General features: G+C 57.6%; 1 protein-coding gene across 9 annotated transcripts in view, besides 7 other annotated features; it reads right to left on the reverse strand.

Moving 5' to 3' along the window:
• VAV2 (vav guanine nucleotide exchange factor 2) overlaps positions 1-11940 on the reverse strand; it is a 230431-nt gene that overhangs the window by 181712 nt on the left and 36779 nt on the right. The gene's annotated exons all lie outside the window — the stretch shown is intronic.
• Positions 732-1585: an enhancer, noted in NCBI's record as "H3K27ac-H3K4me1 hESC enhancer chr9:136809459-136810312 (GRCh37/hg19 assembly coordinates)". NCBI's record gives its function as "activates a minimal SCP1, AML or CMV promoter by ChIP-STARR-seq in primed H9 embryonic stem cells {active_cell/tissue: H9 hESC(primed)}" and the evidence as "EXISTENCE:reporter gene assay evidence [ECO:0000049][PMID:30033119]".
• Positions 1625-1674: an enhancer, noted in NCBI's record as "active region_29257". NCBI's record gives its function as "activates an Ori minimal core promoter by ATAC-STARR-seq in GM12878 lymphoblastoid cells {active_cell/tissue: GM12878}" and the evidence as "EXISTENCE:reporter gene assay evidence [ECO:0000049][PMID:35858748]".
• Positions 2335-2444: an enhancer, noted in NCBI's record as "active region_29258". NCBI's record gives its function as "activates an Ori minimal core promoter by ATAC-STARR-seq in GM12878 lymphoblastoid cells {active_cell/tissue: GM12878}" and the evidence as "EXISTENCE:reporter gene assay evidence [ECO:0000049][PMID:35858748]".
• Positions 4786-5295: an enhancer, noted in NCBI's record as "H3K4me1 hESC enhancer chr9:136813513-136814022 (GRCh37/hg19 assembly coordinates)". NCBI's record gives its function as "activates a minimal SCP1, AML or CMV promoter by ChIP-STARR-seq in naive H9 embryonic stem cells {active_cell/tissue: H9 hESC(naive)}" and the evidence as "EXISTENCE:reporter gene assay evidence [ECO:0000049][PMID:30033119]".
• Positions 5296-5805: an enhancer, noted in NCBI's record as "H3K4me1 hESC enhancer chr9:136814023-136814532 (GRCh37/hg19 assembly coordinates)". NCBI's record gives its function as "activates a minimal SCP1, AML or CMV promoter by ChIP-STARR-seq in naive H9 embryonic stem cells {active_cell/tissue: H9 hESC(naive)}" and the evidence as "EXISTENCE:reporter gene assay evidence [ECO:0000049][PMID:30033119]".
• Positions 6316-6826: an enhancer, noted in NCBI's record as "H3K4me1 hESC enhancer chr9:136815043-136815553 (GRCh37/hg19 assembly coordinates)". NCBI's record gives its function as "activates a minimal SCP1, AML or CMV promoter by ChIP-STARR-seq in primed H9 embryonic stem cells {active_cell/tissue: H9 hESC(primed)}" and the evidence as "EXISTENCE:reporter gene assay evidence [ECO:0000049][PMID:30033119]".
• Positions 10597-10886: an enhancer, noted in NCBI's record as "active region_29259". NCBI's record gives its function as "activates an Ori minimal core promoter by ATAC-STARR-seq in GM12878 lymphoblastoid cells {active_cell/tissue: GM12878}" and the evidence as "EXISTENCE:reporter gene assay evidence [ECO:0000049][PMID:35858748]".

Below are 11940 nucleotides of genomic sequence, written 5' to 3' on the forward strand. Positions count from 1 at the left end.
AGGGTCCCAGGGCTGAGTGCCCTCTCCCCCAGGCTGGCGGCTATGGGGTCCCCACTGTGTTTGTTTAGGGCACTCTGAGGGGGCATGGGCTACCCCACCTCCTGCTCCCCACAGCCCCAGACTGCAGGGAGGGCTCCCGCCCCTGGGCCCCAAGAATCCCTTGTCCAGGCTCTGGCGCTGCAATGAGAGGCAGCGTGTAGTGTGCCCTGGAAACGTCAGCCCCTTTCTCTCCGGCCCATTCATCGGCAGCCGCAGATCTAATCAGGCTGAAATCGGATTAGTGTGGTGACACAGGCTCCATGCCCAGTCGCCCACCTCCCCAGGTTCAGCTGCACTGTCCTTCAGCTCTTGCAAGGCGCCAGGGCGGGGTGTCACAGACAGGAGAGGCGGCGCAGGGCCGGAGAGCCAAGACCCCAGAGCCAGGAGCCCAGGTCTGAGCCACAGGTGAGGCCCGAGGGCATCCTGGATGGCAAGCTTCACCGGCCAAGCTCACATGCTCACAGGACAGTCACGTCTCTTTAGGGTCTCTGAAACAATCTATTGTGATGGGGACACAATGGCAGGGACAGGCCTCTCTGCCCTGCAGAACCCACGGCAGCCCACCGAGAGCAGGGGCGCCCTTCAGCCTATGTGGGCCCTTCCACTGCCCCTTACTGGCAACGGGTCACCGGCAGTGCTGGAGTGGGAAACAGGACAGGCCTGCCTCGCCCTCCAGAGCTGGCATCTAGCCGGCATGACCTGAGAGGGGTACAAAAGGGGAAACTAAGCCGGGGGAGGCAAATCCACTTGCCTGAGTCACATAGCCAGCAGGCCTCAGCTGGGGAGCTGCAGTTTGAACACAGGTGGCTTGGCCATCGACCCCTGGGCAATGGTGATGGAGTAATAGCAGAGCCTGACAATGACCACAGGCAGGGAGGATGCTGACGTGCACAACAGCCAACTCACTCACCACCTGCAGAGCCTGTGAGGTGTGCACTGGCCCACTGCACAGACAGACAACCAAGCTCCAAGCAGTGAGCTCATGGGTAGGCCCAGGATTCAGGGGCAAATGGAGTGGCCGGGATGCAAAAGGGCAGCAGGCCCCCGCCTAAGGGGATGCAAGAAAGTCCTGTCTCGCCAAGGACGGCAGCACAAGGCCTGCGTCGTCAAGGCAGGTGCCACACTGTCTCAGGGGCTGACTCCTGGGCCCCAGCTGGACCATGCAGGAGGAGCGTGGGGCCGGGCTGACCTTTATGGGAGGTGACCCTCGCTGCTCCCTCCTCCCAGGAGAGCTCGGGCAAGTCTCCTCATGTGCACAGTGAGGCTCTGGCACAGAGCTCCAGGCCCTTCCGGCCAAGACTGGCTACGCGTCTCGGTGCGCTGACTCACAGTGATTATAGGCGCTCCACGGCCGCCAGGTTTTCCAGAAGGCCAGGCACTGGGCTAAGAGCTCCCTTGAGTCACTGCAGCAATTCCTAATTTACAGATGAGGAAACTGAGGTTTCAGGAGGTCAGCTGGCCTGCCCAAGGTCACTAGCAAGGATGTAACTGAGCTAACAATGGATCTGGGATGGTTTGACCCCCAAGGCCAGACTGCTGGCCTCTAAGCTATCCTGTCTATGGGTTTCTGGGCAGGGAAATCCCATTATTTTTTCTTTTTTAAAATGACAACAGTACTTTGACAAAAACTCAGTCTGTTCAGAGGAGATGGGGAGGCACTGAGTGTAGGAGCCCGGCCTTTGGGCTTGAGGGGCAGGCCCCACCCACAGAAACCAAGGCTTAGGAATGGGGCCAGAGAGGAGGGGGCTGACCTGATTGATCGGCACATAATAACTAACTAGCACGCATGCGCCATTTCACAGCCCACTAGCACTTTCACATCCACATTTGCTCCGTCAGATGTGGAAATGGAGGCCCCAGAAGGCAGGTGACCCGCGATCTGAACCCAGGCCCGGTTCCTCTCAGGATGCCCCCAGCCTCTGGCAGGCCCATGCCCGGGAAAGTCCCTTTGGCTGCCCCACCAGGAAGGTCAGGGGCCCGGGTGTCCTCAGTCCCAGGAGTGGCACTCAGCTGGGGGTGGGGTCCTGCAGGGAAAGCCCCAAGCTGGGGTCTCCAGATCGCCTGGCCCAACCTTCCCCATCCATGTAGATCGTCACCAACAGGCAGGGCTCCTCCCAGGTCTCTGGCTGGCATCCCTGAACCACCGACTCCTGTCCTGCACAGTCCTACCTCCCCCTGGCCTCTTGCACACAACCACATTCCAGTGCAGACCCCACAGCAGGTGCTCCAGGTGGGGACAACCCAGGCCTGCTCCCACTCAACAGCCACACAGCTTCTCTGTACCTCAGTTTCTCAATCTGTAAAATGGGCAAGGAGAACCCTGCCCTCTGACTCCCACGATGCTGGGACTCTCACTCAAAGAGACTGTACTGAGGCCATCTCACTGGGGAAGTCCAGAAGTCCCCTGAGACATTGGTCACTGGGAGAGCTGGCAGGGGGGTTGGGGTGCCACAGTTAGCTGGAGCTGAGGAGCAGCCACAGTGCACGAGAACCTGGGCCCTTCATCACCATGGTCCCACCCTGGAGCTGTTAGCCCGCCACCCCGCTGGCCTTTAGTTCGCAGCAGAGCTCCTCAAGGCAGCTGCCAGGGACTGGGGGAGGGACACAGGCCGACAAGGGACTTCTGGGGCCTGGCCTCAGGCTCTCTGCTCATGGCCAGAGCAGCCCAGCAACTGGGAGGTGAAGACCCCCACCCCATGTGCTCCTTGCTGCAAAAGGGAACCTGGGCACCACAGCCCTGAAAGCAACAGGGCACCACAGCTTCTGGGCCTCAGGAGAACAGGCACTCTCTTTTCAAGCCTCTGGGTCTTTCTGAGCAAGCTGGGGGTCTCCATGTGCAGCCTCCACGCCCTGCGGCAAAGGCTCCAGGAAGTACCCACAGACATAGATAGACATAGTGCGTTTTCTTGAAATACTTCAACAAGTGTCACTAACACTGCGCTTAGCAGAGACCGATTGCACGCCTGGCTGCTCTGCTTCCAGCTGGAGTGGTGCTGACTCCCTGGGGCCACAATGCTGCGTCGTGCTGATCAGAAGCTCTGACTGGCAGCTGAGGATGTCTTTGATCAATAAAAAAATGGGAAAACAAATTAATTTCCTGTTTTATTTATGCCATGCTCATTCCAAAAACCACTTAAAATAGCTTGATTACTATTCAACAGATGCAGCTTGATGGAATGGATCAAATTTGGGGCCCATCAGGTAGATAAACAGGTGACCCTGGGTGACAGGCTGGCCAGGTGCTCACGGAGACAGGAGCTGACGCCGTTTGCTCCCTCTGGGTCCCAAATGCCCTGGACAATGCCTAGCCCATCACACGGGCTCAGTATCTGGTAGACGAACAAATGAACCAATGAATTAATGAATGAACAAATGAATGAATGTCTAGGAAGCACTCTTAGGTGTCCTCTGACTGCTGACACCTCTCAAAGGGCCCTGCTTTCTCCTCAAGCAGCAGAGAGTCCACGATGCCTTCCAAGACGTCAGGGGCCCCCAAGGACAGCCACTGCTGCTTAGGTGGCAACCTCGCTTCCAGAAGCATCTCTTCCGAAAACAAGCAAGCAGGTGAAAGGTAGGGTCTGGCCTCGACCCCTTATTCCTGCACACATCAATGTCACCTGCACAACTCTACACACCACCCCACCAGGGACCCATTAGCTGGTCAGATCCAATAACCACTCTAGCAGGGGGCGGGGGTGGTCCCTTATCACCCATTTTACAGATGAGGAGACCGAGACTCAGGGAGGCCCGTATCTGCTTTAAAACTGGTCTGTCGTTGGGCGCGGTGGCTGACGCCTATAATCCTGGCCCTTTGGGAGGCCAAGGCGGGTGGATCACCTGAGGTCAGGAGTTTGAGACTATCCTGACCAACATGGTGAAACCTCGTCTCTACTAAAAATACAAAATTAGCCAGGCGTGGTGGCGCATGCCTGTAATCCCAGCTACTCAGGAGGCTGAGGCAGAAGAATCGATTGAACTCGGGAGGTGGAGGTTGCAGTGAGCCGAGATCATGCCATTGCACTCCAGCCTGGGCAACAAGAGCAAAACTCCGTCTCAAAAAAAAAAAAACAAACTGGTCTAACTTGACAGTCATCATGAACACTGAGAGGCTTCCCAGGCCATCACCAGGGCCCCCGCGCTATGGCCTTTGTGAGTGTGTGTGTGAGACAGAGTCTCACTGCATCAACGAGGCTGGAGTGCAGTGGCGTGATCTCGGCTCACTGCAACCTTCACCTCCCAGGTTCAAGCGATTCTCCCGCCTCAGCCTCCCGAGCAGCTGGGACTACAGGCCTGTGCCACCAATGACGAGCTAATTTTTGTATTTTTAGTAGAGACAGGCTTTCCCCACGTTGGCCAGGCTCGTCTCAAACTCCTGGCCTCAAGTGATCCACCTGCCTCGGCCTCCCAAAGTGCTGGGATTACAGGTGTGAGCCACTATGCTCAGACCGCACTGAGCCCTTAAAGAGAGGCTGCAGTGCGGGGCTCCCAAGGCAGATGTCCGAGGCCACTCCAGCTCATTCACTGCTCCAGGCAGGGAAAGCACAGCTCAGCCAGGGATTGATTGAGGAGTGTCACGAGTTGATTTTGTCTGGACAATTGAACTTCCTTCGCTCGGGCCCATTTCCTCAGCTCCGCACGCACCAGGACCAAGGCGTCAGGCCAGCAGGCTGAGTAATGAACCTGACCCGCCTTTGCGCATGGCCTCGCATGAGTGTCCCCCTTCGCCCAGCTGGGGTGCGGAGCTGCTCTACCTGCTGTGATCTGGAGGAGTGGGGTGGTGTTTTCTTCGTGCATATCAAGGTCTTCGGGGGCCAGCCTTGCCCCCAGGTCAGGGGCAGGCGACTGGCAGAGAGAGGGGCAGGCCAGATCAGCAGGGCAGGCGGCCCGCGTGCCCTCAGGAGTGGAGCTCCCCCCACCAAGAGCAAGCAGCTTGAGCCATGGCTGCTACATTTGTCCACAGGAATGACAGAAAGGGCTGCAACAACAGCGTGTCTCGTTTCACTATTCTGTAAAGGTTTCCAGCATTCTCAGTCTCACTAACACTCGATGTGCTAAAACAACGTCCGGTGGCTCTTCCACTTTCTCCCATAACAAACAGCGCCCGCTGAGTCCGTGCCTGGCGCAGCACGAAGCCCTTGACGTTCCTCTCTGCTTCATCCTGCTAACGAGCTGTCACGTATCCCTGGTCTACAGGTGGAGAAACGGCTCAGGGACCACCCTGCTCATCAGGGTAGTGAGGGGAAGACCCAGGTCTAATCCAGGTGGTCTGGTCCTGTCCCCATGGGAGCCCCACGGCATAGGCAAGAGGCAGCCTAATCTGCGGACAACCTGGGAGGAGGGAGGGTCCCGGCTGGCTTGCGTGAAGGCAGAGCTAGCTGCACACAGGCTCTGTCGGTGGGTGCCTCTCCATCCCTCTGACACCAGCACTCCTGGGGAGAAACATGCTCCTCCCTTACGCTGGGCCCTCCTGCTTCCCAGGGCACCTCCCAGGATGACTACCAAAACGCGACTCACAACGCACTACACCACCTCGGCACTGGTAGAGGAAGCCCTCCAAGTCAGACCCACAGAGGCAAGTCCCTGCCCTTAGCAAGCTTCCGGACCCCTGTCTCTGCACACTTCCCCTCCTTCCCCGAGGACGCCCTGACCCAATTCCGGTGCCTTCCAACACTTTCCACAAGGTCTCCTGGCCACTCCCACCCCCAGCTTTCCAGCTTTGGTTCATTCAAGGTGGGCTGGGGGCCCTGGATGCTGGAGACACGTGGCTGACACGTGGCACCCGCTAGGGCTCTGAGCCTTTGACTGTGCTGTTCCAGTGGCCTGAACACTGTTCCCTATCCCCACTTCCTGACCTTGTCTCTTTCAACCCAAGCCCAGCTCATGAAAGGAAGAAATGGCCTTTCTCCTCCTCTGTACCTGCCCCCTCGAATGGCGGGTCACCTGCTCACCACACTCCAGGCAATGCTGCTGCGAGATGGGAAACAGGCTTCCCAGAGAAGATGCCAGAAGACTCAGAGGGCCCAGCCAGCTGTCTCCAAAACAGGGCCCCGGAGGCATGGATTCAAAATGTCTGCTACCAGAGCTCAGACCCCAAACTCCAACCTGCAGCACGCAGGCAGCCCTGGGTCCAGAATCCCAGGATCTTCCCCAAAAAGGGATGGGGCAAGGTTGCTTTGTGGCTCAAGGCCAGGAGGTCCCAGAGAGGCAGAACACCTGCCCCCGACCCGGGCGTCTCCTGCTGTTTAGGGGTTTCACGCTCAGCTTTTCTCACAGTCTGCTCCTGTGCAGCCTGATTTCCAAACGAGCTCTGCTGCAAACTTCAAGCGCCCAGCCGGTGAGAACCAGCAAGGACCAGCAGCCGTGAAGTCCAGGAACCCCAGTGCTGGGGCTCCCACCCGCTGCCAGGGTCTGTCTGTCCACAGCCCCTGAGCCATGAGGAGTGGGTTCTCAAAGGCTGAAAAGTCAAGATCTCAAGAAAAGAGAGACACTCTGGCTGCCCAGCAACCCCTGGCACAGGCAGGCAGGGCCAGGCCAAGCTGCAGCATTGCCCCTCTCCATCCTGACGGTCAAGTCCTTCCTCAGCAGCACTCGAGAGGAAACCCAGCAAGAAAAATCAATTCTGGAGAAGCCTCATTTGGAAGTCTGAGTGGAGCAGGTGGGCAGCTGGGAGGCTCCTATTCAACTCTGCACCCGCCTCCAGTCCACAGTCAGACACCGAATAAGAGGCACCTACTGCATGCTAGGCCGCCGCCCAGCCGTGCGTGTTCAGAGCCAGCAGCTGAGAGAGGTCTCAGCTTTCCACGCCTGCTCCCCTGAAGCCCTCCAAGGACCCACCTCTGCTGCCGACGGTGGGTTTAAGCCAAGGCGGGGGGTATAAAGAGTGGCCCACACAATCGGGACTTCAAGGTCAGGGTCAAACCAAAGGTTTTCTATAAAGCTAGCAGTAAATTGCTTTTCTAGTATTTCTCTTTATAACCATCTTCCCTGAGCCGGCTTCCGAGTGCCGGAGGGTTCAAATCCTACTCTCTGGCCACCTGGCTCTGAGCAATTAGCCCAGACGCACGCCTGCGCCTCGGCCCTCCGGGTTGCTCTCATAGGACCTCAGCCCCTCCTCTCTGCTGCAGCCCACAAGCCATCTGTGAAACGGGCTCTTGTCTCTGCCACCTCATTTTCTCCATTTCTTCCCCCTTCCGGAAAGCGGCCTCCGAGGTCAACATGAGGGCATTCGCACGCTCTCTGGAGCGCCCTATCTCCAGCGCAATTGGACAATCCAACTCCAGACGGACCCAAGCAGAGGGCGCGATTCTTCCCGTTCCCCCACCACCCACTAAAATGAAAGCCAAATGGATCCCTTCACAGCCAGCAGACACCGGATGATCGCTCTCCAGTCTGAAGGAACGATTCTCGCTATTATCCCTTCCTGCTGGGCTAAAAATATTGAAGGAAAAATGCAACCGCAGCACTAGAGAGCTTCCCAAGCAGGGGGGTAAAACTGAGCCTCCTTCTATGATCAGAAACCAAAGGCAGGCACAGCCCTTGGCTATGGAGGCAGCAAGGTGGGAGGCGGCCTCTTCCCCTGCAGAAGGCCACAAGCCAGCCATGCGACAGCAAAGTGTCAAAAACTCTTCTTAGTCAATTGCCAAACGGGCAACTACGGGGGCTGGAGAACAAGAGCTGGCACCCAGCAGGGTCAGAGCAGGAGTAGAACAGGGACTGTGGGGCTTTCAGCCTGAAAAGTGTCCCTCATGCCCGCCATGTCCCCATTTGGAGCTCCTGCTGGAGCCTCTCCTGCAGGTGCCTACAAAGCCCCACCCACTGGTGAGTGGCCGTCACCCGCCAGGCAACCCCAGCTGGACCCAATGTGGCACCTCCTCCTCAGCAGTCCCTGTGCTTCGTGAGGCCCATATGTGGGAGCTGGGAGCGCTAGACTAGAACCCCTCTCAGCCTGGACCCCCGGGACCTGCCCTTCACCTCTCAGAGCCTCAGTTTCCTCACCTGTCAAGCAGGGGTGGCAGTCATACCCACAGCAGCTGACACCAGACCACGGGTGGGTCACTCACCTTGTGCTGGGGACAGGGCTTTTAGGCTGCTCGGCTCTGCTGCAGGAATAGGATCCTCAAAGCAGAGGCGGTTTCCCCATTTTACAGATGGGCAGAGTGAGGCTTCAGGAAGCGTAGTTATCTGCTTGGAGTCTTAGGCAGCTGCTCAGGATGCTACAGCAAAATCCCACAGCCCGGGAAGCTTGTAAACCCAGGGGCTTCTTTCTTGTAGCTCCAGAGCCTGGAAGCCCAGTGCCAGCGTGGTCAGGTTCCAGTGGCTTCTCCTTGTACCATTACACAGCAGAGATGTACCCTTACATCCACAGAGAGTAGAGAGAAGCAGTCCCTTTTGGTACTCTTAAAAGGGACCATCCTATTCATGAAGGGTCCGCTCTTACGACCTCATCTAAACCCAATTACCTCAAAAGGCCCCAGCTCCTAATAACGTCACATTTTGGGGTAGGGTTTCAACATAGGAATTTTGGGGAGACACAAACATTCAGTCCATAACAGCAAGTGTAATGGGTTGAATGGGTGGGCCCCAAGGAGACAGGTCTGCATCCAGACCCTGAGAAGCCTATTTGTGACCTTACTTGGAAAAACAGTGTTTGCAGGTAAAATTAAATTGATGCTCTCAAGGCCGGGTGCGGTGGCTCACGTCTATAGTCCCAGCACTTTGGGAGGCCGAGGCAAGCAGATCATGAGGTCAGGAGTTCGAGAACAGCCTGGCCAACGTGGTGAAACCCCATCTCTACTAAAGATACAAAAAATTAGCCAGGCATGGTGGCACGCACCTGTAATCCCAGCTACTCGGGAGGCTGAGGCAGGAGAATTACTTGAACCCAGGAGGCGGAGGTTGCAGGGAGCCGAGATCGCACCATTGCACTCCAGCCTGGGCAAAAGAGCAAGACTCTGTCTCGGGGAAAAAAAAAACAAACCTGAGGCTCTCGAGATAAGATAATCCCAGATTACCCAGTAGGCCCTAAATCCAAGTGTCCCTAGAAGAGAAGACAGAAGACAAGAGGCCGTGTGACGACAGAGGCACAGATTGGCATGATGCAGCCACAAGCCAAGGAGTGCCTGGGGCCACCAGAATCTTGAAAAGGCAGGATGGAGCCTCTCCTAGAGCCTGCAGAGGTTGCACAGCCCCACTGACACCTAGAACCTGGAGGGAGCATGGCCCCCGGGACACCTAGAACCTGGAGGGAGCATGGCCCCACTGACACCTAGAACCTGGAGGGAGCATGGCCCCCGGGACACCTAGAACCTGGAGGGAGCATGGCCCCCGGGACACCTAGAACCTGGAGGGAGCATGGCCCCCGGGACACCTAGAACCTGGAGGGAGCATGGCCCCCGGGACACCTAGAACCTGGAGGGAGCACGGCCCCACTGACACCTAGAACCTGGAGGGAGCACAGCCTGCCAACATCTAGAACCTCCAGAGGCAGCACAGCCCTGCCAACACCTAGAGCTTCCAGAGGGAGCACAGCCCTGCTGACACCTTGGTTTCAGGCTCGCGGCCTCCAGGGCTGCTGCTGGAAGGCGCTGGCCTGTGGTTCTTTGTTGGGCAACTCCGGTGGCCAGCTGGTGGCAGGCAGTCCTGTGCCCTTGGCGCTGTGCCCCCCAAGCCCACCACAACAGGCACTTGGAATGGCTTTGGGATGAATGGGCACACAATGGAATGAATAGGGCTTGGATGAGAAACTGAGGCAAGAGTTCTCCTGGTTTCTTCCACCCTTTGTTCCCGTTCATGCCAGCATGGGTTTTGCAATGCCCTGCACCCCGGCTCGGAGCTGGGAGACCCTGGACCCTGGGCCTGGCACACTGGGGCCCTCTGAAAATGTGGTTTTGACCCCCAGGCTCAATTCAGGGCTCTTTGGGAAGCAAAGTCCCCAGAGGGACCCTGGCAGGGTGGGAAGTCAGGAAGCACTTGTGTGGAACCTCAGACCCAGTTCCCTCTGACCACCATGGGGCCCAGCTTCAGACACCCTTGAGTGGGGACAGGGGGCTCAGGCACAGGGTGGGGCACCTTTCCGGCAGGGAGATGCAGGTTCAAATCCTGAAGGTCCCCCACACCCACCCTGGGAAACCCAGCTCCCATGACCCCGGCTCCCAGGCCTGCATGTCCAACAGCTGCCTCCCTGTCTCCAAAGAAGGCACCTGGCCCGAGTACCCCAAAACCAAGACCTGTGGGCCTCCATCCCTAGGTGTCCTCCCTCTGCAGAAAAACCCACTGCTTGCCAGAGGCTACAGCCAGCACCTGACAGGCAGCGCCTCCCACCACCCCTTGCACAGGCAGGTGGCTCCACATGTGGGACAACCCACTGCACATGTGTGACATTCTTAAGATCCCAGCACTATACACGCCATGGGATGTAAAACACCCTTCTCAACGTGCAACAAACACGGCCGAAACCGTCACCGAAAGCACTGCGCCTGTCTGCTGCTGGGGAATCACTCCGTGGTTAGCACCCATCATTTCGAGAAGAAAGAGTCAATTGTGATGTTCTGTTACCATCCCAGTCATTTCCAGGGATTTCTGAGAAGCGGCATGTGCCTGGTGTCCCTCTGTCCATCTGCCCATCTGTCCATCCGCCCACCAGCACCTGCTGAGGGCCTGCGGCCCTGCATGCATGGCCCAGGCTGCCAAATCAGTTCTGTCACCATGGGGCGGCAAGGCACAAGGAGGAGCAAGTGCGCGTGAGACGCCCAACAGGAGAGATGCCTGCACTTCAAGGAGCTTTCTCGCCTGGTGCTGGAAAGGACCCAAAGTACTCAGTGCCGCAGCAGCACATCGCAAGTGCGCAGTGAATCTGAGTGAAATCCACGCACGCCTGAAGGCTTCCGGAGAAGGCATCGCAGGTCCAGCCATGGGAGGCTGGGGGGAGCGGGAGCTGTGGCACTGCAGCCAAGCACTTACATGTGCCACACACCTGTGGGGCGGGCGGGGGATGCTGCTGATGCTCGAGCAGGGCAAGGTCTGTGATGTGTGTGTCCTCATGTGTATGCGTGTGGGGTGCCCATGCACATACATGTGGGGGTGCGCAGGTGCTTAGGGGTGTACAGGCGTGCATGTGTTCATGTGTGTGCACATGTATGTGTGCATGCTCATGATGTATGTACCAGTGTATGTATGTGCAGTGTGTGTCTGCATTACGATAAATAAAGCTAAGCAAAAATACATCTGCAGGAGGGCAAGGACCGAGATAAATCATTCTGAACTCCAAACAGGTGGAGGGTAAGATGTAAACAGATTTTTCCTGTTGTTTAAATGTACTTCGTTTTCATTATACTGCTGTTTGCGTGCAATGAATGCAAGTGCACTGAGGTGAGGAAAAAGGAAGGCAGACACTCCTTCCTCCGGCTACCCCACAGACACCCACACCATGAGAAACTAGGGCACCCCTGCAGATGGGAGGCAGCGGTGAGGTCGCCTCCAGGCTCGGCCAAGGGTACAGGAAGGGCAGAACCTGACCAGGCCATTTCCAGCCAGACTCTGCTTCCTGTGGGGAGCTCCTGCCCCTTCAGGTCCTAAACCTTCAATCACCCAGATTCTGGGGACCCCACAGGGAGCAACATAGTCATGCCACCCTCCACAAGCCCAGCCAGGGAGTGTGGCCCCATACCCGATGCCAAGGCGAGGCTCCTGGCTGCGGAAGCTGAGTCGGAAGCACGGTCCCCACACTCCTCCTTACTCCCCGCCCACGCTCCTCCCCACTCCCCACACTCCTCCCCACCCCCCTGCTTCTCCCCACTCTCCCCATACTCCCCACTCCCCCTGCCATGCTGCCCCAACTCTCCCCATGCTCCTCAGTCCCTCCAATGCCCCCCAAGCTCCTCCCCATTCCCCACATGCTCCTCC

This window comes from Homo sapiens, chromosome 9, assembly GCF_000001405.40.
Source record: "Homo sapiens chromosome 9, GRCh38.p14 Primary Assembly".
NCBI classification, from domain to species: Eukaryota; Metazoa; Chordata; class Mammalia; order Primates; family Hominidae; genus Homo; species Homo sapiens.